This window comes from Homo sapiens, chromosome 3, assembly GCF_000001405.40.
Source record: "Homo sapiens chromosome 3, GRCh38.p14 Primary Assembly".
In the NCBI taxonomy this organism is placed as follows: Eukaryota; Metazoa; Chordata; class Mammalia; order Primates; family Hominidae; genus Homo; species Homo sapiens.
Genome location: NC_000003.12, coordinates 149,971,076 through 149,996,511, shown reverse-complemented (window position 1 = coordinate 149,996,511; position 25,436 = coordinate 149,971,076). Strand labels below are relative to the sequence as shown.

At 39.5% G+C, this 25,436-nt stretch overlaps 1 long non-coding RNA gene and 2 pseudogenes across 1 annotated transcript, besides 4 other annotated features; 1 reads left to right on the top strand and 2 right to left on the bottom strand.

The window, feature by feature from the left end:
• Nucleotides 3,427–3,928: an enhancer, noted in NCBI's record as "H3K4me1 hESC enhancer chr3:149710371-149710872 (GRCh37/hg19 assembly coordinates)". NCBI's record gives its function as "activates a minimal SCP1, AML or CMV promoter by ChIP-STARR-seq in primed H9 embryonic stem cells {active_cell/tissue: H9 hESC(primed)}" and the evidence as "EXISTENCE:reporter gene assay evidence [ECO:0000049][PMID:30033119]".
• PPIAP73 (peptidylprolyl isomerase A pseudogene 73) lies at nucleotides 11,508–12,254 on the bottom strand (annotated as a pseudogene).
• Nucleotides 13,204–14,243, top strand: TMEM183BP (transmembrane protein 183B, pseudogene; annotated as a pseudogene).
• Nucleotides 23,270–25,233, bottom strand: LOC646903 (uncharacterized). Its single transcript, NR_036538.1, has one exon. It is a non-coding gene; the product is annotated as an uncharacterized LOC646903 (long non-coding RNA).
• Nucleotides 24,354–24,884: an enhancer, noted in NCBI's record as "H3K27ac hESC enhancer chr3:149689415-149689945 (GRCh37/hg19 assembly coordinates)". NCBI's record gives its function as "activates a minimal SCP1, AML or CMV promoter by ChIP-STARR-seq in naive H9 embryonic stem cells {active_cell/tissue: H9 hESC(naive)}" and the evidence as "EXISTENCE:reporter gene assay evidence [ECO:0000049][PMID:30033119]".
• Nucleotides 24,885–25,416: an enhancer, noted in NCBI's record as "NANOG-H3K27ac-H3K4me1 hESC enhancer chr3:149688883-149689414 (GRCh37/hg19 assembly coordinates)". NCBI's record gives its function as "activates a minimal SCP1, AML or CMV promoter by ChIP-STARR-seq in naive H9 embryonic stem cells {active_cell/tissue: H9 hESC(naive)}" and the evidence as "EXISTENCE:reporter gene assay evidence [ECO:0000049][PMID:30033119]".
• Nucleotides 25,262–25,321: a silencer, noted in NCBI's record as "silent region_14813". NCBI's record gives its function as "represses an Ori minimal core promoter by ATAC-STARR-seq in GM12878 lymphoblastoid cells {active_cell/tissue: GM12878}" and the evidence as "EXISTENCE:reporter gene assay evidence [ECO:0000049][PMID:35858748]".

The following is a 25,436-nucleotide window of genomic DNA, read 5'->3' as shown; positions in this document are numbered from 1 at the left end:
TGATGTCAGATTTATTGTTATAAAATTCATTCTTATCACTGCTTTGGTTTTATCCCATAGGTTTTGGCATATTGTGCTTTGATTCTCATTTGTTTCAATTTTTTTGAACTTCTTCCTAATTTCTTCCTTGACCCAGTGGTCATTTAGGAGCATGTTTTTAAATTTCCATATAATTGTACAGTTTCCAAAGTTCCTCTTCTTACTGATTTCTAGTTTTATTCCATTGTGGTCTGAGAAGATACTTGATATGATTACAATTTTTAAAAATCTGTTGAGACTTGTTTTGTGTCCTAATATATGGCTTATCCTGGAGAATATTCCATGTGTTGATGAGAAGAATGTGTATTCTGTAGCTGTTGGATGAAGTGTTCTCTGTCTGTTTGGTCCATCTGGTCTAATGTGCAGCTTAAACTCAATGTTTCTTTGTTAATTTTCTGTCTAGATGATCTGTCTAATACTGAGAATGGGATGTTGAAGTCCCCAACTATTATTGTGTTGGAGTTTATCTCTCCCTTTAGATCTAATATTTGCTATCTGTCTGGGTGTTCTGGTACTGGGTGCATATATGTTTAGTATAATTATATCCTCTTGCTGAGTTGATCTCCTCATCATTATATAATGACCTTCTTTGTCTCTTTTTACTGTTTTTCACTTTAAAGTCTGTTTTGTCTGAGATAACTATAGCTATTCCTGCTTATTTTTGGTTTCTGTTTGCATGGGATATCTTTTTCTATCCCTTTATTTTCAGTCTATATGTGTCTTTACAGGAGAGATGAGTTTCTTGGTGGCATGTAGTTGAGTCATGTTTTTTAATTCATTCAGCCACTCTATATCTTTTAAATGGACAGTTTAATTCATTTACATTCAAACTTTTTATTGCTATGTGAGGGCTATTCCTGTCATTTTATTAATTGATTTCTGGTTGTTGTGTATATCCTTTGTTCTTTTCGCTCTCTCTTACTATTTATCATTGTGGTTTAGTGGTTTTGTGTAGTAAGAACATTTGAATTCTTTTTCTTACTTATTTATGTGTTTGCTCTCCAGTGCATTTTATACTTTTGTATGTTTTAATGAGGATAGATATCATCTTTTGCTTCCACATGTGGGATTTCCGTACGCATTTCTTTTTCTTTCTTTTTAAATTTTCTTTCTGTTTTTGTTTTTTAAGAGATAAGTGTCTTGCTATGTTGCCCAGGCTGGCCTTGAACTCCTGGGCACAAGTGATCCTCCTGGCTCAGCCTCCCTGGTAGTTATGACTATTGGTATGCACCACCACATCTGGTCAAGTATTTCTTGTAGGACCAGTCTAATGGTGAAGACTTCCTTTAGCTTTTGCTTCTATAGGAAAGACTTTATTTCTCCTTCACTTATGAAGGATAACTTTGCTGGGTATAATATCTTTGGCCGACAATTTTTTTTTCCTTTCAGCATTTTGAATATATAATCTCATTCTCTCCTGAGCTATAAAGTTTCTGCTAAGAAATCTGCCATTGGTCTGATGAGGCTTCCCTCATAAGTAACTATATACTTTTCTCCTGCTATTTTTACAATTCTCTCTTCATCCTTGACTTTTGACAGTTTGACTGTAATGTGCTGTGGAGAAGACCTTTTTGAATTTTATCTGTTTGGAAATCTCTGAGCTTTCTGTGTCTAGGTATTTCTTGCTAGATTTGGGAAGTTTTCAGCTAAATTTTCAGCTAAATTTCATTAAGTAGGTTTACTATCCCTTTTATTTTCTCTTCACCTTGTGGGACATCAAAAATCCAAATAATTTGGTTGCCTTATGGTGTTCCATATGTCACATAGGCTTTGTTCATTCTTTTTTCTTTATTTTTGTCTGACTAGGTGATTTTAAAAGACCCTTTTTTGGCTGGGCACGGTGGCTCACGCCTGTAATCCCAGCACTTTGGGAGGCCAGGGTGGTTGTATCACCTGAGGTTAGGAGTTCGAGACCAGCCTGACCAATATGATGAAACCCTGTCTCTACTAAAAATACAAAAATTAGCTGGGTGTGGTGGCATGTGCCTGTAATCCCAGCTACTTGGGAGGCTGAGACAGGAGAATGACTTGAACCCGGGAGTTAGAGGTTGCAGTGAGCCGAGATCACACCATTGCACTTCAGCCTAGGCAACAAGAGGAAAACTCCATCTCAAAAACAAACAAACAAACAAAAAACCTTTTTCAAGTTCTGAAATAATTTCTTCTGTTTGGTCTAGTCTATTGTTAAAGCTGTCATATGTATTTTGTATTTTATTCAATAAATTCTTGCATTACTAAATTTATATTTGGTTCTTTTTATGATATCTATGTCTTTAGTAAATTTCTCATTTATGTCCTGAATTTTCTGATTTCTTTGTATTGTTTTTCTGAGTTCTCTTATGTCTCACTGAGCTTTTTAAATATTATTTTGAACCATTTTGAATTATTTTTCTGAGATTTCATAAATTTCTTTTTCATTGGAATCTGTTGGTGGAGAATTATTGTGTTCCTCTGGAGGTGTCATATTTCCTTGCCTTTTCATGTTTCCTGTGTTCTCATGTTGATATCTGTGCATCTGGTATAATGGTCACTTCTTCCAATTCTTTGAATTTGCTTTCATAGCGGAGGACTTTTTCCTGATGATGTCCCTGTGGCATTGGTTGGTAGGGTACTTTGACTTTGAATTAGGGTGTATGCAATAGTGTAGTCTCTTTTTGATTTCTTTGCCTATAAACAGTGTCAAGAGTGTCTGTAGTTCCCTCAGTGGCTTAGGGTGTAATCATTAACGGAGGGAGTGGTGAAGTTTTGTTGGAGACAGGGACATCAGGTGGGCCAGCCATTGGGTCCCAATGGTGGCGGCAGCATGCCAAGCATGCCTGTCCTTCACTCCCAGGGAAGTATATACTGGCATTGTTTTTAGCAGGTACAGGTGAGCCAATTCTTGGGCCTCCAGGCTGCTTACTTGGGAGCCAGTAGTGGCAGTGGTGGGTCAGGCAGGTGGGTGGGTCCTTGGGCCTCTAGGCAGTGGGTGTAGTGTGGCCAATGACAGTAGCAGTAGTGCGACAATTCTCTGGTTCCCAAGTGATGTTGACGGTGGCTGTGATAGGCTGGGTGAGCCAGTCCCCAGGCCTGAAGGTGATACACATGGGTGAGTGCCAGCTATGATACTAGCAGCAGGTTGGGTGGTCTGTTCTCTGGCCTCCAAGAGGAGTCCTCACATGCCAATGGTGGTAGACGGGGAAGGGAGATCCCCAGGTTCCTGAATGGCGTGCCTGGGCACTGGTGGATACGAGCTGGGCCATGTAGACCTGTCCTCAGGCCCCTTAGAGGTGCATGCAGGTGCTAGCTGTGGTAGGCAGGGGTGAGATGATCACCAGGCCTCTGGCTGAAATGCTCAAGTAGGGGGAAGCTGCAGCTATGCTGCAACTCTGCTCCTGTGAAGAGCAGGGTTGCTTTCAGTGGCTGCAGTCTTAAATGTATGGCAGGGGGGCATACAAACTTGGGCCCTTGGTGGCAGATTTAAGGAGGATAGCCTGTCCTCAGGGTGCTTTCAAAGCAGCCATGCTACTGGGAGTGGCAGGGTTGCTCCCAATAGTTTGCACTTCAGCCCTGGTGGCAGCAACTAGCAGCAGCACCTGGCTGCATGCAAGGTATGTCAGTGGGGCTCTATGGATATGGAGATGAAAGGGCTACTGAGCCCCAGGGCAGGATGCAGGCTGGTGGGAGCTGGACTCTCAAAGTGGCACTTTGCTGTAGCTGCTTAGGACTCCAGGCATCTGTGGGACCCCTCTCTGAAGCAATCCTGTTATGCAGTCTCCAGGCAGATCCCTATGTTAGTCTCAGGGCCCTCATGAGTTGAGGGGCTCTCCCATGGCTAGGATTGGGAGAGTCTGCAGTGAGAATGTAGATCACTGGGAGTCACTTACTCTTTCCCCACATTGAGGAGCCTCTGCAGACTCCCAACTGATCCTGTCATCCCTGAGCTGACTACCTCACTCCCCTCTCCTTTGTCTTAGGTGTCTACTGTCATTTCTTTGTTGAATTCCAGTGTTCTTAGGTGATCTGTTAGAAATGTGATTATTGGCCGGGCGCGGTGGCTCACGCCTGTAATCCCAGCACTTTGGGAGGCCGAGGCGGGCGGATCACGAGGTCAGGAGATTGAGACCATCCTGGCTAACATGGTGAAACCCCGTCTCTACTAAAAATACAAAAAATTAGCCAAGTGTGGTGGCGGGTGCCTGTAGTCCCAGCTACTCGGGAGGCTGAGGCAGGAGAATGACGTGAACCCGGGAGGCGGAGCTTGCAGTGAGCCGAGATAGTGCCACTGCACTCCAGCCTCAGCGACAGAGCGACCCACTCCTTCCTCTGTTTAGGAAGATGATTAAGTGCCAAACTATGTAGGTTCAATCAAACCATCTCCTAACTAAATAACTTTAGGCAAGTACTCACCTTCTCCATGCCTTAACTTTCTTATCTGTAAGATGAGTAACACCAACCTTATATGATTTATGTGGATTAATTGAGTGAATATTTGTAAAGCACTCAAAATAATGCCTGTATGTAGAAAGCATTATATAAGTGTTTGCTAAATAAAATAAATACTTCATTGATTTATTTTAACATTTAATTAAGATGACTTAAATAAATCACCATTATGTCTGACAAATAGTAAGTAGTCAGCAGGAGTTGCCATTACCATTACAGGAGGTGATGTGGTGATCATTGCTAAACATTTCCTTACTAGTAGACTTTCAATCCTACACTGGGGAGAAGTCTGTTTGCTCATTAATAATGAGAGTTCATAAACCTTATGCAGTTTTTGTCCTTATAGGCCATATTATCAAGTAAAACAGTGATGGTAAGGGAAAATTTGTTCAAGAAGAGATCCCGCAGGAGTTTAAAAAAAAAAAAAAGAGGGGTGGTAATATAAAGTTGTAACTGTCAGGACTGTTCAAAGCTGATGAAAATGTTAGCGAAGAACCAAGGCTTTACCTTTAGAGTGGGCATAATTAATACGGAAGAAATCAAGCTTTCAGAGCCTTTGCCAGAGACTGGCAGCAACAGCATTCCCTGGGAGCTTGTTAGAAATGCAGAATATTGGGCCCTCCCAGAGTCAGAATTAGCAAGATCCCCCAGGTGGTTCTTATGCAAATTAAAATTTGAGAGGCATTGTTGTATAATATTTTTACTTTCCATGTTTTTTTCCTGTAGTTTATTTTGAATATGCCATATCAATAATACTAACATTTTGGCCATATTAGGTCTTTTTTAAAGTGATACATGTTTCTTTGAAGGTGTGACTAAAATTTGGCTACATGCAATGGTTTTAGTATATCCCAGGGACAATTTTTTCTAATCAAAAGTCACCTCTGGTTTTATAATGCAAATAAGCATGAAAGGAGGCACCATGCATGTTTTATAGCAAATGTCACTGGCATTTCTCAGGTTTATTACATGAGGGATGCATGTTTTTAAAAAAAATCATCTCCGAATCACAAGAGTTCAGAATTTTATCACTTTTCACTGTTCACTCTTGCTTATCCTGAAGGTGACAAATGAAAACAGGTCTCTGATTCATGCTTCTTCTGCTATAATGAAGCCACAACTCACTGACTTTTAAAATAGAATGTTTCAAGACCAAATATTTTATTTGGATGTATCTGAGGGGCTAAAATATTTCTATTGAAACTCTCTGTGAGAAAACATTCTAGATATGAAACATCTGTTTTTGGTCATTCCAGTTAAAGACTAATATTTGCGCAGGGCAGAGAGGCCCATGGTAATATTGTGTTGTTCTAAGTACAGTATTCCCATGATTCAATATTCCTGAAGGATTGGGTCAAAGTATTCACCCAATTAACATGGCTCAAACATTCCCAACATATTTGTGAATATGTACATCTGCAAATATATTAAACACACTTTCCCACTTCCTCTTTTTCTTTCTTTTTGGGGATAGAGGGTGGGGAGAGTGTGGGTGGGGGTTGGACACAGCTATGGAAAAACCCTGAAGCTCAAGATCAGGGGTAAAGTGCCTAGAAAGAGTCAAGGGAGACAGGAATGTCAGATTTAGTATTCCTTAGTAGGAGTCATTACAACCAGAGGCTCTTTCAGACGACCCTCTGGGTCAGAGTGAAGATGATCAAGACACCTGCCATTTACTATGGTGTGGCTGTGGGGGCCATTCGTCCCCACCTTTTGCAGAGCAAGAGGTCAGAAAGTTCCATCCTCTAGTCTAACTTTCTTTGTGTAGGGTACTGGAGCTGAAGGCCTTGTGATCAAACCTTTAGGTTTTCAACCTTGGCTGCACAGTTGGAATCACTTGGGGAGCTTTAAAAGTTACTGATGCCCAGGTTTCACCCCCAGACATTCTGATTGAATTGTTCTTGAGTACAACCTGGGCATTGAGATTATGATGACCAATGTGCAGACAGGGGCCTCTGTACCACAACCCTTGGGGCTCCTCTCTCGCTTCCTCAGAATACACCCTCCTCTCTGATTTCTGCTCCTCATATCATTCAATTCCTTTTCTATACCCCCAGAGTTTCCATCGCAGATCCTTTCCAAGGCTGGGTTCTTCTGCCCACCGTGTTTGAGCCCTCAGTCTCTTGGTTCTTGGAAATCATTATGAGCTGAATTGTGCTCCCCAAAATTCACACGTATGTTGAAATCCTAACACCCATCCAGTACCTTAAAGATGTGACTATAGAGCCAGGGCCTGTAAAGAGGTAATTAAGGTAAAATGAGCTCATATGGGTGGGCCCTAATCCAATATAACAGGTGTCCTTACAAGAGGAGGACATTAGGAGACAGATAGGCACAGAGGAAAAACCATGTATTACTACAGAGAGAAGATGGCCATCTACAAGCCAAGGAGAAAAACCTCAGAAGAAAGTAATCTTGTCGACACCTTGATGTCAGACTTCTAGCTGCTATAATTGTGAGCAAGTAAATTTCTGTTGTTTAAATCCCCCAGTCTGTGGTACTTGATATAGCAGTCCAAGCACACTAAGACAGAAATCTTCCCAGCACACAGGGTGCATTTTGAGTCACGGTCCTTCTCTCTGCAGAGACTGAGTTTGCTGGCATGTAGATTAGCCTTTAATATCTGAGAGAGTTTTTGCATAGAGAGGAACACTCACAATTATATGAACCTTAATGTCAGTGGAGTGAGCATTTAGGTATTGATACAAAATTTGATTAAATTCCTTTAAACAGCAATTGCAAATTTAGTATGTCTGATTCTTTTGAACATTTCAACACCCTAAAATACAAAATACACAAAATGCATTTTGTAGATAAAACAACAAAACTTATTACAACATTTAACCTTAAGCTATTCCAAACATCAAGTACCATGTGGTGAATTTATTTCTTCCTTAAAGTTGTTTTATACCTTTCTAGGATTAGAGATAAACTTATTTTGATTTCTTCCTAATGTTTCAGTACTATTAGTTGGATACCTTCTGGGTAGTAATTTTTACTCAACCCCAAATTCCCTGGGGTCCTGGATTTTTTTTCTTTTTTTTTTTTTAGATGGATTCTCACTCTCTCGCCCAGGCTGGAGTGCAGTGGCATGATCTTGGCTCACTGCAACCTCCACCTCCCAGGTTCAAGTGATTCTTCTGCCTCAGCCTCCTGAGTAGCTGGGATTACAGGCACCCACCACTACATCCAGCTAATTTTTTGTATTTTTAGTAGAGACGGGGTTTCACCATGTTGGCCAGGCTGGTCTCAAACTCCTGACCTCGTGATTCTCCCACCTCAGCCTCCCAAAGTGCTGGGATTACACAAAATTCAGTTTTTTCTTCTAAAGTGACTTAAACCTAAGACAATAGCCTCTCTTTCTTATTATTAAACTTTGTTGTTAGGTTGCTTAAACTTTTTAAAGTCAACTCCTTTCTCTAGATTTTAGTTTGCCCCCAGAACTTGGTGTTTGTTTTCTGAAATAATGTATTTTAAAGTCTCACTTGGTCAAGATGATATAATACATTACCCTATATTGGGGTAGATTGATCTGTCATATTAGGGTTTTAAACAACATATATGTTCTTATTGGTACTTTATTGCTTTTGCTGGAACCACCAGAGTTTCATTACCTCAGTCTGTGTGCTTAGCAAACCTCTGTAGGACATTTAGGAAATTTATCGTTTTGGAATACATGAATGGACCTCTTTTTTATTTGGTGATGCAACTGACCCCTGGTGCTAATTAACAATCCAATTATTCTATACTTTTTGTTAACTCATTAGTTAGAAGCTCATAACCCTTCATAAACACCACTTGTTTCAATTTAAACTTATTCTATTTTTATGCTTATATCACCACATAATGACTAGAGCCTATCTTCTGCTTGAGCTTGAGTGACATGACAAGCAAAATATCTTCTAATTAGTTAACCTTGGAAGATGCCATTTTCAAAGCTTCCTACCCAATCCATGGCTTCTTCACATCCTTACTTCACCTAGGGGAGCAGGGAGAAGGGCAGTTTTGGCCACACACACAAATGGGATCTTTTGTGTTGAGCTGATGAATAGAGATAGGATGGCATGTCTTCTTTTTTGGCTGATTTTGAACCTCTTTGGAGAGGCTAAAAGCAGACACAGTCAAGTGGGACTTTGTGAGATTTACCCAAGCTGAGCTGCTTTGGAGGCATATGCAACAAAGAATGGCCCAGAGTTAAAAGGAAGGTTCTCCTTGTATTTTTGGAGACAGAGTCTTGCTCTATCCCCCAGGCTGGAGTACAGTGGCATAATCTCAGCTCACTGCCACCTCTGCCTCCCAGGTTCAAGCGATTCTCATGCCTCAGCCTCCCAAGTAGCTGGGATTACAGGCGTCTGCCACCACACCTAGGTAATTTTTTATTTTTAGTAGAGATGGGGCTTCACCATGTTGGCCAATCTAGTCTTGAACTCCTGACCTCAGGTGATCCTTGGCCTCCCAAAGTGCTGGGATTACAGGTGTGAGGCACCTCACCCAGCCCCCCTTGTTTATTATAATGATGATGATGATGATGACAGCTTTTTATTGTCTATTGTACCAGAGCCTGTGGTCCTACTTTGTATATTTTATATATATATTATATAGTCCTCAAAATAGTCTTTATTTAGTCCTCAAAATAGTCTTTTGAGCTAGGTATTACTTATTGGGCTATTATAAATAATGCTGTTTTTCAGCCTCTTTTAAAGGTTTTTTGGTGCAAAAAATGTGAACACGTTTTTGTTGCATGTATACCTATGGTTGGAATGAATAGGTCCTAGGGTATGGGTACGATCAGCTTTGGGAGATTTGATATATATCACATCATAGGAGCTCAAGACTAGCCTGGGCAACATGGTGAAACCCTGTCTCTACTAAATATACAAAAAAAAAAAAAATTAGCCAGGCGTGGTGGTGAGTACCTGTAGTCCCAGCTACTCAGGAGGCTGAGGCATGAGACTTGCTTGAACCTAGGAGGCAGAAGTTGCAGTGAGCTGAGATCACGCCACTGGATTCCAGTCTGGGCAACAGAACAAGACTGTGTCTCAAAACAAACAAACAAACAAACAAACAAACGAATAAACCCCAAAGATACATATTTATCACATATCAGCATGCACATTATATCAACATGACTTATTATTGTTGATGCTAACTTTGACCCACTTAGGGTCATGCTTGCCACTCTTCTCTTGCTATTTTTCCCTTTTCATATTCTGTTCATTAGCACCAAGTCACTAAGTCCAGCCTACACTCAAGGGAAAAGGAGTTAAACTCTACCTCTGGAGGAGAGTATATGAAAGACTTTATAGGCTTATGTTAAATGACCACAGTAATTAATAAATATTTAGAAGGAAATACTTTGAGTTTATGCAAATATCTCACTCATCCTAAAAGTTTCACTCACTAATTTTAGCATTCATCAGTGGATCTTGCTCATAGTAGCTATTACTGTGGTGTTCTAATGGTGATTTTCTATTTCTCTCATTCCTTCTATATTTAGTACTTACAATTCTTCTGTAAGGAAGATTTGTCCCTTCTTACCCATTTATGTATGTATGTATGTATGTCAGTATGGAGTCATGAATATCACGAAGATTCTATTTTGGGGCTTTAATCCAATACTACCATTACTTAATTTGTTGCTCAGATTGTTCCAACTTTGGCCATTGGTAGCACTTTCAGTTGGTTCTTGTGTGTCTTCAATATACACCATCCTTTTTTTTTTTCTTTCTTTCTTTTTTTTTTGAGATGGAAGCTTGCTTTGTTTCCCAGGCTGAAGTGCAATGGCGCGATCTTGGCTCACTGCAACCTCCGCCTCCCAGGTTCAAGCGATTCTCTTGCCTCAGCCTCCCAAGTAGCTGGGACTACAGGTGTGTGCCACCACACCTGGCTAATTTTTTGTATTTTTGGTAGAGATGGGGGTTTCACCGTGTTAGCCAGGATGGTCTTGATCTCCTGACATCGTGATCCCCCCGCCTCGGCCTCCCAAAGTGCTGGGATTACAGGTGTGAGCCACTGTGCCTGGCCTTTTTTTTGTTTGTTTTATAGAGCACTTTCTTCTTAATCAGCTTTGTTGAGGTATAATTTATATACCATAAAATTTATTGACGTGTATGCACATATTCAACTTTCATACTCATCACATCAGGAGGTACATGATATCAATATGAATTTTAGTATATTTACAGAGTTGTAAAACTAATAGGACAAGCTAATTGTAGAATACTTCCACCATCCCGAAAGGAAGCCTCATCTTCATTTGCAGTCATTTTCCCATTCTCAGTCTCAGCCATAGGCATTCACTAATCTAATTTCCATCTCTATAGAGTTTTTTTCTGGACACTTCCTTTCTGGCACTGTAAGATGCTCCAGGCTCATATTGTATTTACTCTGCTCTAGATCTAGAAACAACTATTTCTTTAAGGAGCACTGGTTCTGTTTGTTGGAAAAAGGTATTTAGATTTGGGAGGCCGAAGCGGGTGTATCGCCTGAAGTCACAAGTTTGAGACCCTGGCCAACATGGTGAAACCCCATCTCTACTAAAAATACAAAAGTTAGCAGGGCATGGTGGTGCGTGGCTGTAATCCCAGCTACTCGGGAGGCTGAGGCAGAATTGCTTGAACCTGGGAGGCAGAGGTTGCAGTGACCCAAGATCATGCCACTGCACTACAGCCTGGGTGACAGAGTGAGACTCCATCTCAAACAAACAAACAAACAAAAAAAAGGTATTTAGAAATAAAGATCTAAGTAGTATGTCTACTTGTTACTACTTGAGTGTCATTGCTTCAGCTTCTGTTAGTGAACAGAAGTAGGAGATATATGTATGTATACTAACCCATGTATCTACAATACCTGTATTTATGCTCATATATCTGTATACATATTAATATAAACTCATGCTGATAAATGTGACTCTAATCCAGCACCACAGGGGTCATTCTAACCTTTCACTCTTGCCCATTTGTAACTTCTTTCTCATGTCAGTGAGAAACCTGGCTCTCATTATTTACAATATATTTTCTTATTCAATTTTTATTTTTTATTTTTTGTTATTTAGTTTTTATTTCATGATCATAAATGTAACTGTGTAATCCAGCTAGACATGGAAGGGAATAAGGAAAATATGGAACCTAAAGAATAGCAGAGATAGCACAAAGATTATAGGATACTGTGAGCAAATGGGTTGGAGGGGTGCTCTCCTGAGCTACAGAAGCAATTCTCTTGTGGTTAACATAAAACATGATTCAAATTTATTAGCGTTTTCCACAGTCAGCAATGATCTTCTTGCTGGTCTTGCCATTCCTGGACCCAAAGCATTCCATGGCTTCCACCTTATTAGTGCCTGCTTTTACCTTGCCGAAGACCACATGCTTGCCTACCAACCACTCAGTCTTTGCAGTGCAGATGAAAAAATGGGAACCATTTGTGTTGAGTACAGCATTTGCCATGGACAAGATGCCAGAACCTGTATACTTCAGGATGACGCTCTCATCATCAAATTTCTCCGCATAGATGGACTTTCCACCAGTGCCATTATGGCATGTGAAATCACCACCCAGACACATAAATCCTGGAATAATACTGTGAAAGCAAGAACTCTTAATAACCAAATTCTTTCTCTCCAGTGCTCAGAGCATGAAAATTTTCTGCTGTCTTTGTATTAATAGCTTTGTCTGCAAATGGATCTAAGGAAATGTGGCCCAAGGACTCACCACTGACAGTGATGTCAAAGAGCATGGTGGGGTCGACTATGGCTGGTGTCAGGGGCTCTGGGCAGTGACAGTGTTTGCAAAGCACTTATTCATTTTATATACATGTGTATTAGGTTGATTGGTGATCCTCAAAAATATATGCCTATGTCTTAACCACTGGAAGCTGTGAATGTAACCTTACTTAGAAAAGGGGTCTTCACAGACATAATCAAGGATCTTAAGATTCATTTACATTAGATTATCCCAGTGGGCCCTAAATCCAATGACAAGTATCCTTATAAGAGACACGCAGAGAAGAGAAACATAGAGGCAAGACGAGAAGACCAGGTAAAGACAGAGGCAGAGACTGTAGTGAAGCAGCCACAAGTCAACGAACACCTGAAGTCACCAGGAGCTGGAAGACACAAAGAAGGATTCTCCCCTAGAGACTTCAGAGATACCGCAGCTCTGACACCTTGATTTTGGACTTCCGGTTTTCAGAACTGTGAAAGATTAAATTTCTCCTGCTTTATGCCACCAAGTCTGTGGTAATTTGTTACAGCAGCCTTAGAAAACACAACATGTAAAAGAGTTTCAGAATTGCTAACCAAGCTCCTGTGAGAAACAGATTTACCAACCAGAGTGTAGTGTTTGTGTAGTTTTGTCTGCCTTGTAGTATCAAGTCAAAATATTGCATTTCAAAGCTTCTTAGGTCAGCTTTATCAGTTAGTGCTCTTTTGTGGTGGGGAGTGGTCTGGCTTCTTTCATTAAACATGATTCACTGTTGTTGGATGTATCAGATGTGTTATTTTTTATTGTTGAATAATATTCCATTATATGAATACATCACAATTTTCTAATCCATACCTCTGCTGATGGACATTTAGTTTTTTACCAGTTTGGGGTTATTACAAATAAAGCTGCTAAAACCATTTTTGTCCAAGTGTTTGTGTAAACATGTGATTTAAAGTTCCATGATAGGGTGTGGGATGGCCGCGGAGCCGGGCGGAGCTGGCTTGCGGCTACCGGGGCCGGCTCTCTGGCCGGAGACATGGCCCGGGGGCCCGGCCCGCTAGGCAGGCCTCGCCCCGATACGGTCGCCATGCCCAAGAGAGGAAAGCGACTCAAGTTCCGGGCCCACGACGCCTGCTCCGGCCGAGTGACCGTGGCGGATTACGCCGACTCGGATCTGGCGGTCGTGAGGTCTGGACGAGTCAAGAAAGCCGTAGCCAACGCTGTTCGGCAGGAAGTAAAATCTCTTTGTGGCTTGGAAGCCTCTCAGGTTCCTGCAGAGGAAGCTCTTTCTGGGGCTGGTGAGCCCTATGACATCATCGACAGCAGTGATGAGATGGATGCCCAGGAGGAAAACATCCATGAGAGAACTGTCTCCAGAAAAAAGAAAAGCAAGAGACACAAAGAAGAACTGGACGGGGCTGGAGGAGAAGAGTATCCCATGGATATTTGGCTATTGCTGGCCTCCTATATCCGTCCTGAGGACATTGTGAATTTTTCCCTGATTTGTAAGAATGCCTGGACTGTCACTTGCACTGCTGCCTTTTGGACCAGGTTGTACCGAAGGCACTACACGCTGGATGCTTCCCTGCCTTTGCGTCTGCGACCAGAGTCAATGGAGAAGCTGCACTGTCTCCGGGCTTGTGTGATCCGATCTCTGTACCATATGTATGAGCCATTTGCTGCTCGAATCTCCAAGAATCCAGCCATTCCAGAAAGCACCCCCAGCACATTAAAGAATTCCAAATGCTTACTTTTCTGGTGCAGAAAGATTGTTGGGAACAGACAGGAACCAATGTGGGAATTCAACTTCAAGTTCAAAAAACAGTCCCCTAGGTTAAAGAGCAAGTGTACAGGAGGATTGCAGCCTCCCGTTCAGTACGAAGATGTTCATACCAATCCAGACCAGGACTGCTGCCTACTGCAGGTCACCACCCTCAATTTCATCTTTATTCCGATTGTCATGGGAATGATATTTACTCTGTTTACTATCAATGTGAGCACGGACATGCGGCATCATCGAGTGAGACTGGTGTTCCAAGATTCCCCTGTCCATGGTGGTCGGAAACTGCGCAGTGAACAGGGTGTGCAAGTCATCCTGGACCCAGTGCACAGCGTTCGGCTCTTTGACTGGTGGCATCCTCAGTACCCATTCTCCCTGAGAGCGTAGTTACTGCTTCCCATCCCTTGGGGGCAGCCTCGAGTGTAGTCCATTAGTAATCAGATTCCAGTTTGGACAGGGTGGCTGGATTGTATATCTCGTTAGTAATGTACATGCTCTTCAGGTTCTAGGGCTCCTGTTAGGGGAGGGAGAAATGTTGAATCAAGAGGGAAAACAACTACTATGATTTATAAACATATTTTAATGTAAAAATTTGCATTCAAAAGGAGTGGCCCTGTTTTCTGTGTTAAAACCCCATTTGGTGCTATTGAGTTTGTTCTTTATTCTTTTATCCCAGTGAAAATTGTTGATCTTGCTGTAGGGAAAAATTAAACTCTTTGAATCTCCAAACAAGGAAGTTTCAGCATTCCCTTATGGATCAGAGGAACCTTAGAGGCCTGAAATTGTTGCTTCCAGTTTAGCTGCCCCTCAAATTCAAGTGAATATTTTCCCTTCTCCCTTTACCCTTCTCCAGAAATAAAGCAGGTGACAGGGTTTTCAGAATCTTAAAAAAAAAAAAAAAAAAGTTCCATGATAAATACTTAAGAGTACAATAGCTCAGTCATATGGTGGGTTTGTGTTTAAAATTTTAAGAAACTGCCAAGTTGTTTTCCAAAAGGCTGTACCATATTTTACATTCCCATTATCAGTGTATGAGTTTGTAGTATAAAGAAAGAAATTAAAAACTTTTTGATAAGGTCCAATTTATCATTTTTTTCTTTTGTGATTCATGCTTTTCTGTGTCCTAATTAAGAATTCTTTGCCTAATTCAAGGTCACAAAGACTTCTTCATTTTCTTCTAGAAATATTATAATTTTAGCTCTTAAATTTAGGTTAGGATCCCCTTTCATTTTTTGCAGAGAGTGAGATGTAAGGGTAGAGGTTCATTTTTTTGCACAGATGTCCAGTTATTCCAGCACTATTTTTTGAAAAAATTATCTTCTCCCATTACCTTGACATCTATTTGAAAAAGTGATTGACCATACATAGATCTATTTCTGGAGTCTCTATTCTGGCCTACTGACCTGTATGTTTATCCTTGTGCCAATATTACATATACTGTAGACTTGATAGCCAATAGTGAATGTCCTCCAATTCTGTTGTTCTTCAAGAAACATTTTCTTGGTTATTCTTGGTCCTTTGCATTTATGTATGAATTTTATTAACAGTTTGCCAATTTTTTCTCTCTCTGTCTCTCTCACTCACTATCTCTCATACAGACACACACACATGCACACACACATAACTGTTGGGATTTCAAAATTTCTCATTTTAATTATCACAAAAATACAGAAAATTGCACCAGTTATAGGTATATAGCTTGATGAATTTCCACAGAGTTAACACATCCATATAAATAGCCCTGAGATCAAGAAACAGTACTATAACACTACTCCAGGGCACCCTTCAAATAATCTACCCAAAGGATACACTTTATCTGGCATTTTTTAACTGTATGTTTGTGAGTTTCATTCATATGTTGAAAATAGTTACCATTATGTTTATTCTCACTGCTGTATAATATTCCATTGCATGAATATAACATTTATTATCCATCCTATTTTTGATAGGCATTTGGGTGTTTCCAGTTTGGAGTTACTATGAATTGTGCTGTGAACATTCTTGCAGTCTTTTAGGGAAGACATGGAAGCATTTTTACTTGGATATATATCTAGGAGTGGAACTGTGAAGTCTTAGGTTTGTGTATGTTCAGTTATAGTAGACACTGCAAGCATCATCCAAAATTATTGTACTATTTTACGCTTCTAATAGCAGTCAGTGTATGTGTTGTTCTGATTGGTAACACATGGTATTTTCTCTCTTTTTCATTTTTGCCATTCTAATAGGCAAATAGTGATATTGCATTGTGGTTAAACTTCAATTGTGGTAAAATACACATAACAAAACTTACTATCTTACCAATTTTAAAGTGTACAGATCAGTAGAATAAATTCTATTCACATTATTGTGCTACCATTACCATCGTCCACATATAGAACTCTTTTCATCTTCTTAAACTGAAACTCTGTACCCATTAAACAATAATTCATTTCCTCCTCCCTCCAGGCCTGGTACTCCATTCTATTTACTATCTCTATGATTTTAACTGATCTAAGTATCTCATATAAGTGGAATCATACAATATTTGTCATTTAGCGACTGACTTATTTCACTAAGCATAATGTCCTCAAGATTTATCCGTGTCTTAGCATGTGTCAGAATTTTCTTCCTTTTTAAGGCTAAATAACATTCCATTGTATGTATATACCACCACTTGTTTATCCATCTGTCATGGACACTTGGGTTACTTCTACCTTTTGGCTATTGGAAATAATGCTGCTATGAACATGGGTGTGCCACATCTGTTTGAGTTATTACTTTCACTTCTTTTGTTTTTATACCCAGAAATGAAACTTCTGGATCATATGGCAATCATATTTTTAATTTTTTGAGGAACCACCTTACTATTTTCTATATTGGTTGTACCATTTTACGTTCCCACCAAGAGTGCACAGGGATTCCAGTTTCTCCACATCCTTACCAACACTTAGTATTTTCTGTTTTTTTTTTATTATAATAGCCATCCTAATGGGTATAAGATGGTGCAAAAGATAATTTTCTTTTTCCTGGTGAATAATGCAGTTGAACATCTTCTCCTGTGGTTATTGGCCTGTAATCTCTTTTGCAGATTTTCCATTCAAGCCTTTGCCCACTTTTCTTACAAATTGTCACCCTTTTTCTGTTGTCCTATAGTTTACTTACATATTTTGAACGAGTACTATATTAGTCTGTTCTCACACTGCTATAAAGAACTACCTGACACTCAGTAGTTCATAAAGAAAAGAGGTTTAATTGACTCACAGTTCCACAGTCTCTGTACAGGAGGCATGGCTGGGGAGGCCTCAGGAAATTTACAATCATGGCAGAAGGTGAAGGAGAAGCAGGCACAATCTTCACATGGTGGAGCGGGAGGGAGAGAGTGAGCGAAGAGGGAAGTGGTACATGCTTTCAAACGACCAGATCTCATGAGAACTCTATCACAAGAAAAGCAAGGCAGGGAGTCCACCCCATGATTCAGTCATCTTCCACAAGGCCCTGCCCCTGACATGTGAGGATTACAATTCAACATGAGATTTGGGTGGGGACACAGAGCCAAACCATATGAAGTACTTTGTCAGATGTATGTGTTGCAAATATCTTCTCTCATTCTGTGGGCTGCTTTTTCTAGTGGAAGGGGGAATCAGTGGCTTATGCTGTCTCTATGATTTTGAAAACCAAACTTCAGTTCTACCCATTCCTTAAGGTCTAACAGTACTTGGGTCTTTTCTATGAAACATTGTTTTATTAGTTTCTTATAACTCCAGCCTCCATTAATTTTCACCATCTCTGCCCTTCTAGAGTGTTTACCACCTGATTTTGTGATCTAATGGTAATATAATTAGTTCATATCCTTGTTTGCCTCTCACATACTCTACAGCCAGACCACATTGCTCACGTGCTTTGCATGCATTACTTTCCTGCCTGACTTTAAATCAGAGGGCAAGGGCCTTTTTAACAAATGTTATCCTTAATACATACCAACAAGTACAGCGGTAGCAAGAGCTGCAACACTTGTTACCTGTAACAAGAGCTACAATACTTGTTATATGTAACAAGAGCAAGAGCTCAATACTTGTTATATGACTTGAAAAATGTAAATATTACCAGGAATATCTACTATCCACTAAAAGAACTGATAGCAAATAAATTGTTCCAATTAAATATTTTGTTCAAGAGGTCTTGAAAACAAGCCATGTAAGTCATCAAGTGAGTCTAACCTCTACAACATAAAGGCATCGTATTGAAAGTGTTTCACTTTAACCTCCCTGGATTCTATTTGGAATTTCAGTTATTAACAGTCCTGCATACCACCTTCATCATCTACTTCATCTAGTTACTCACTTACTTCTAAAAATACTTACTTTTGACCTCAGGTTGGTAAAATTAGCCTACTCTCATGTTTGTTTATGCTTTTGTTCTGCTGCTGGTCTCTTTGGTCAATGTCCATCTATTCATATTATGAGTTTGGATCAGCCTGAAATGGTAAAGTGGGATAAGGTGTCAACATGATCTTTGACAGTCTTATTATGTGCATAATTAGCTACCTAATATAAATTTCTCAATAAGAATGCGGGTGCTGTAGCTGGTGGTGGTGAAGTTTACATTCTTTGAAAATCAAATGATTTAGACATCTATATATTTGACATTCACTTTTAAAATGCTTGTAAATGGAACACAGCCATTGCTCAATTTACACTTTCCTTTTAGTTCTCTGTCAGTATGTTTGTGAACCCAGAAAGAATTTTTCCCAGAAGTGATATCTGAGTTTCATTGGGTAAAAATAAAAGATTTTAAAAGCCTCATTTAATACTTTTTTGGGGGAAACAGCTACTTAATTAAATTTTATTATTTGTCCTCTGGGACTGAGATGAAGAAAAATTAGACATGTAATCTCTTTGGGGGGTGTTTTGATGGATTGCCTGCATTTCTCTCATATCAGATAACAAGATGGCCAATGTTTTTGTAGGCTTTGTGCCTTTACCCTTGGAATTCTACAAAAAACATCTCTCAAGTTCACATATAACTTGGAATGAAATGCTCTACATGTGCTTCCAGAATTCTCTTTTCTGCATCAAATCAGAAAAAATGAGTCATAACTCATAAGGAATTTTCTGTCAGCTAATGTGATATTTAGGGAGGTACACGAAATCGTTGAAGCCTCTAGGGCACTATTTAATGTATTATTGCCAAAAAAAAAAAAACAAACAGTAGAGCAATTTTCTATGATATGGCTAATTCAGTCATTATTACAATAGGGATGCAATAGATGTAAAGCATTTCCTCAAGAGCTTAACTCATTATGGAAAAGCAAAACTGGATAAACTAGAATGCTTAGAGACCTGAAGTGGGATAGCAAAATGGATATTCTGGTTAGAGCAGGGTCTGGTTGCACTTAACACAGGCTGATTACAGTACTTTAACCAAGTAAGGAGTTTATTTACCCAATCTAACAAGAGTCTGGGGGTAGGAAATGAATGGATAGTGAAGGTCCTTGAGAGAACAGGCCCCTTTCCCCTCCTGCTCCACAATGCTCAGCACTTACGAATGACTGCCCCACTTTGACACTGAATCACAATCTGGACAAGAGAAAAGACAGGTTAAAAGTAGAAAGCTTATGCCAGCTGAGCAGTCCTTTACAGAAAGATATAGGTATCAAGGAAAAAATAGCTTTCCATGAAGTAGCTTTTGATCTAGTTTATTGGCCAATGGACTAGATGACCACCCTAGCTGGAAGGGCATTTATGGAGGTATTTTAAATTATTTACTATTATCTCAAGCAAATTCAAGATTCTGTTAGCAAGGAAGAAGAGTACATACTGGATAGGCAAACCAGCAATGTCTATCACATTTGATTAACTGAATTAAGTGCCACACTTCATATTTTAAATCTTGCCATCAGACATTTAAAAGAATGTATTTCATCCATTTCCACACAATTCAAAGTTCACCACCACACAGATCATAAAGAAGTTTTTTTTTGGTTATTTTTTCTCAACTTACCTGATATTTCAATAAGAAATGATAACTTATGATACAGCCACTTGATGGACTACTGCACAGTCATTAACAATGAAAAATATGTAGCAAAAGATTTGCACAAGCACTTCACAAAAAAGTATCTAAATGACTAACAACAAGAAAAAGATGCTCACCTTTGTCATTGGAAATATGCAAATTAAAGCCATAATTAAATACCATAATACAACTAGCAAAATGTTTAAAATTAAAAAGACACACAATATCAACTGTTGGTGCATATGTGGAGAAACTGAAATCCTCATACAGAAATTATTAGAGAAATCTTCAAAATACCCTTTTCCTGCCAAATAAAGGGAAACAAATCTTGAGCAGAAAGCAGAGCTGAAGTCTGTATGTAACCAGGAAAAATGGGGCTAGTCTGAGTGCAGATGCAAATGGCAACTATGTGAGGAGCTGAATCAGATACTCCTGCCTTTAGGGGGCACCAGAGAAAGGGTTAAAGTGCCCCCAGGTTGCTTAGCACCCTGGACATATAGTAGAAGCAGATACAAACTGTTTTTGAAGAAAAGTCTCCACACTTTAGGCCATTAAATTTCCTACATATTAAGATCAATGAAATATCATTCACAATCTTTAAGATCACCAAGCATACAAGGAGGCAAGCCACTATGGGTGAGGTAGATGAAAAACAACATACAACTTGTTTATATATTGGAATGGTTTCATTGGGCAAAAACAAAAGATTTTAAAAGCCTCGTTTAATACTGACTACTGAGATACAGATACAGAGTACAAAATAAGTAGGTAAGAAACATTTAAAGAAATGAAGTATGGAACCACAAAGATCGGGAAGGAATACAAGAGTATCAGGAATAACTGGGAAGATACGCATAACAATAAAATGGAACTTCTAAAATGAAAAATAGACTTTTAGAAATTAAAAAAGTCTCAATGTATGGGTTTATCAACAGATGAAACATAGTTGAACAGTGATATGGAATACACATCTGAGGAAATTACCCAGAATAGAGCACAGAGAGTAGTAAGATGAAAAAGATGAAAGAAGTTAAGAGATACGGAGAACAGAAGAGGAAACAGAAACATATGTATTCTGAACTCTAAGACAGTAAAGAGAACTGAGAAAAAGGAATTAATTGAAGAGATAGTAATTGAGAATTTTACAGAAGTGATGATAAATATAAATCTATTTTCCTAAGTAGAATAAAAGAAACCCAAATGTAGACACATCATAGTGAAACTGTAGAAGAGCAAACACAAAAAGGTTCCAAAGTAGCCAGAGGAAAAGAGACAAATCATCCATATGATACAACAGCAGTGACAAAAACCAAAATGAAATGGAATAACATCTTCAAAGTGTCCATTTTGCATTGTAGATCCAACCCATTGTCAGAGGATGAAAGTGATATAAATACATTTTCAGATAAACATAGTTTCTCACCAACAGACTGCTATTAAAGGAACTTCTAAAAGATGTACTTTAGAAAGAAAAATGATCATAGAATGATCTGAGATATGAAAAGGAATAGTAAGTAAATAAAATACAAACATGTAAGTACATATATATACACACATACATAAACATCTGTGTAAGAGTCTGGAGAGAGGTGTCCAGACTTAAAACATTCTAAGGTTTTTGGATTGTCTAGGGGTAGTGTTTAAGATATTTAACTTAAAACTTTATTGTATTAAATATGCAAGGCAAAAATTTAAGGGTAACACTAAGAAAAATTGGTAGCATAAATTTGAAAAAAAAAAAAGAATAAAACACACATGCCCGACATTTTTTTTAAAGGCAAGGAAGAAAAAAGCATAGAAAAAAAAAGAGACTAATAAAATTAGTTCAAACAAGTCCAAATGTATGTCAATAATTACAATGAATGTAAATGGAATAAACTTGCCAATTAAAGGTTATACTGCCATATTGGATAAAAAAACAAAATCCAGCTGCGTGAAGTTTATGAGACACAAAATAAAAAGGACAGAGAAAGGTTGAAAGAGAGGTGGGGAGCGAAAAGATATATAAGGTAAACACCAATAAAAAGAGAGCTGGGATGTTACCTTAATATTTGACAAAAATTTTAAGACAAAAAGCAGTATTGGTGATCAAGAGGGCAACTACTAAATAATAAAGAATAAATTCATCAGAAAGGAAAAATATAACAATTTAAATTTCCATTTTCCTAATAGCCTCAAAATATAAAAAGCAAAAATTCATAGAATTTCAGGGTAAAATGGCCAAATGCAGAATTATAAGTTCTCCTTGTTCTTTACTGTAAAAATCATACATAGTGAATACATTCAAAAGATATTTGTATTAGCTTGTGGGATTAAGGATTTTTCTCCATTTTCTAAACTTTATTGCTGTGATATTGATTTTATAATTCATATACTTTTTTCAGAAATGAACTATGCGGTGAAATTTTTAAATAACTGATGGTTAATTATGGTTTTACTAAATTTGGGGGTAATTACTGTGTATAGTTTTAGATCCTGCTCCCAATGATTATCAGGTTGTGTACATTTTAAAGATAATTTCTTGTTTGTGTTTTGCTAAAATTTCAAATGATTTTTACATGGACTCAAGTGGTTCAGACACCACTTGACTTACACATTAAAGAACGTGGCTTACTACACAGTTTCTGCTTTACTCAATAAGAATAAAATAATTCTGGAAAGAATGCATAATAATGCACTCCAAACTTAAATATGCTACTGATTGTTAATGGCTACATTATTCTGGCTATTTGTATCAACAACACAGCCACAACTTTTCTAAACTTCTGCCCAGATATTACAATTATCCTAGGGATTACTTACTCTCAGAAAAGTAGAGGAAGATACAAATTGGCAATTCTTTTTCTCACACTGATACTCCTTTGGACTTAAGTGAACCAATATTGTTATTACTAAAGCTCAGTATTCCACCTCTATTTATACTTTCTGAAACGTATAAGCAACACTTAGATGAAATAGGAAGGGATCACTGTACACAAATGGAAAATAAAGCAGCATGCAAGGAAGCTGGTTCTAAAGAAAACAAGCACAGGTGGCCGGGCATGGTGGCTCATGCCTGTAATCCCAGCACTTTGGGAGGCCGAGGCAGGCGAATAACGAGGTCAGGAGTTTGAGACCAGCCTGGCCAACATGGTGAAACCCCGTCTCTACAAAAAATACAAAAAATTAGCTGGGCGTAGTGGCGGGTGTCTGTAATCCCAGCTACTTTTGGGAGGCTGAGGCAGGAGAATCGCTTGAACCCAGGAAGCGGAGGTTGCAGTGAGCCGAGATCATGCCACTGCACTCCAGCCCTGGTGACGGAGTCTCATCTCAATAAACAAACAAACAAAAAAGCACAGGTTACTTTATTACAGTACTGAAAACCAAGACAGCACATGGACTCTCTTTGAATATATAACCTAAAAATTGAAACTGTAAAATTTAATCTATTATACAGAATTTTTTTCATAGTTGTTTAAATTTTACTGTTTGCAATTCTAGAAAAATAACATCATGTTGGAAAAGTAAGCAGTAATTTAAAATGAATTATATTTTGAAAAATATAGAAGAATGACAAGAATTCTAAATTTTTGTGAATATTTTACCCAAGAAATGTGTTTTAGAATCTTTTGAGATTTGAATTAGAAAATATTGTTGGTCAAATTCTTTCACTGTTTAAAGCCAACAATAAAAGAATAGGAAAAGAATGTAGTTATTTCCAACTCTGTGCTATAACAATAAGATAGTAACGTCTAGAAATTATATCTTAAAACCTTCAGAGTAAATTAATAAAAATTCAACATACTTCAAGTTATCACTGTATTTTTTCTATAATTACCTTTTCGTTTACTGTTTCAATTTATTGAATTATACATACAATGAAGAGCACAATAAATGTACATACAGCTTGATGAATTCTCACATAGTGAGCCTGTGTTACAAGTAATCTATTATTAACTTTTAAGATGATACAGTGCTATGATCGAAGGACTAAAATGATCAACATCACCATAAAAGGCAGAGTCATAAACAAGAACAATTAAGTGTAATTAAATCAGGTGGGAGGCACACTTACAAAAATGAAACAATTTTTGGTTCACATTTTACACCACACAGGTATTCTGTATCTTTAGAACATGAGAAAATACATATTCTCAGTCTGATAGGTCTCTGACTTGGGGGTTTCTTTTACTGTACTTTTTTTCTCTCTAGTAGCTGAACATTTTAAAGCAATCAGCAGAAAAAATATAAAACTTCAGAACCAATTAGACTTTTAAAAGCAACGTTCTTGCCCTTTCCAGAGATACATTCCTTAATCCTCCTACAAATCATGACCTCACACGATAACTTTAAGGGTGAACATCAACTTATCTACATTTTGGTGCTTTCTTTCCCTTAAGTGGCAGATGGTTTCTATTAACCTAAAATTGAAGTCATTGTTGGGGGACCCCTAATTCCATGTCTAGTCCTAGTGCCCAGAGGCTACCAAAGACGATACGAATAGCTTCTCAGGCACTCTACCCACCGTTTACCTTGTTAATACAAATCTTTCCCAGACCTGGGTCCCGAAATTATTTTACCCTGCAGAGCAGAAATGTTACGGTGTTCATTCAGTGAACTCTTCCCTAGTTTTTAATCTTTGTATTTTCTGCGTATACTTCAAGCCACCAGTAACTTTCCCAGTTACCAAGAAACAGTGTAACACAGGTCGCTATTTGTTTTGTTCGGAATTTACGAGCAATTTAACCACACGTGATTAGCAACATTAAGGGGGCTCCTCCAGGCAAAGAATCCACAGAATGAGAGGCCCTTGGTACCCAAATGAAGCAACAATGAAAGATCGGCGAAGCTCAGCAAGGTTCCTGAGCGCCACGGACGCCTGCTCTGATTTCAGGTTGCCGGCGCGCGCCCGCGGGTCTGCCTTTATGGACGAGGCGCAAGAGGGATCCAGGAAAGACGGTGCCCTTAGAGACTCGGAGATTAGCGTGGGCAACCCTGCCACCAGCTGCCCCTGCCACCAGCCGCCCCCACAACAAAAAGGAGGAAACGCTCCGCATCCCGTCACCAGGACAACTCTGTAACCCGACACCGAGGCTCAAGATTCCGCATCCCGGGCAGCGAACACAGGAGAAAAGCACATCGCGGCCCGGCCGCGGGGCTCCAAGGCGTCCGTGCCGCCGCTGTTCCTGGGGTGCCGAGAGCGACGCGGGGTCCACCCTCTCCGCCGGCCCGAGGTCCGAAGCTCGGCCCGCCACCGCTCCCGGCCGGCGCCTCCCGCACGTGGCGGCCGTGATTGTCCCGGGGCGGTATCCCTCCGCGCCCCCGCCTCAGTCTCCCCCCGCCCTTCCCGGGACCCTCCGTGCCCGGGCGCCGCGGAAGGATCGCACGCACGCGCGCGCGCACGCCCAGCCGTGTCCGCGGAAAACGGAGGGCGCTGCGGTAAGGAGCAGCCGCCACAGGCACAGCCGCTTCGCAGCCTCCCGCCGCTGGTTTGTCAGCCCCGCGGCTGCGGGCGG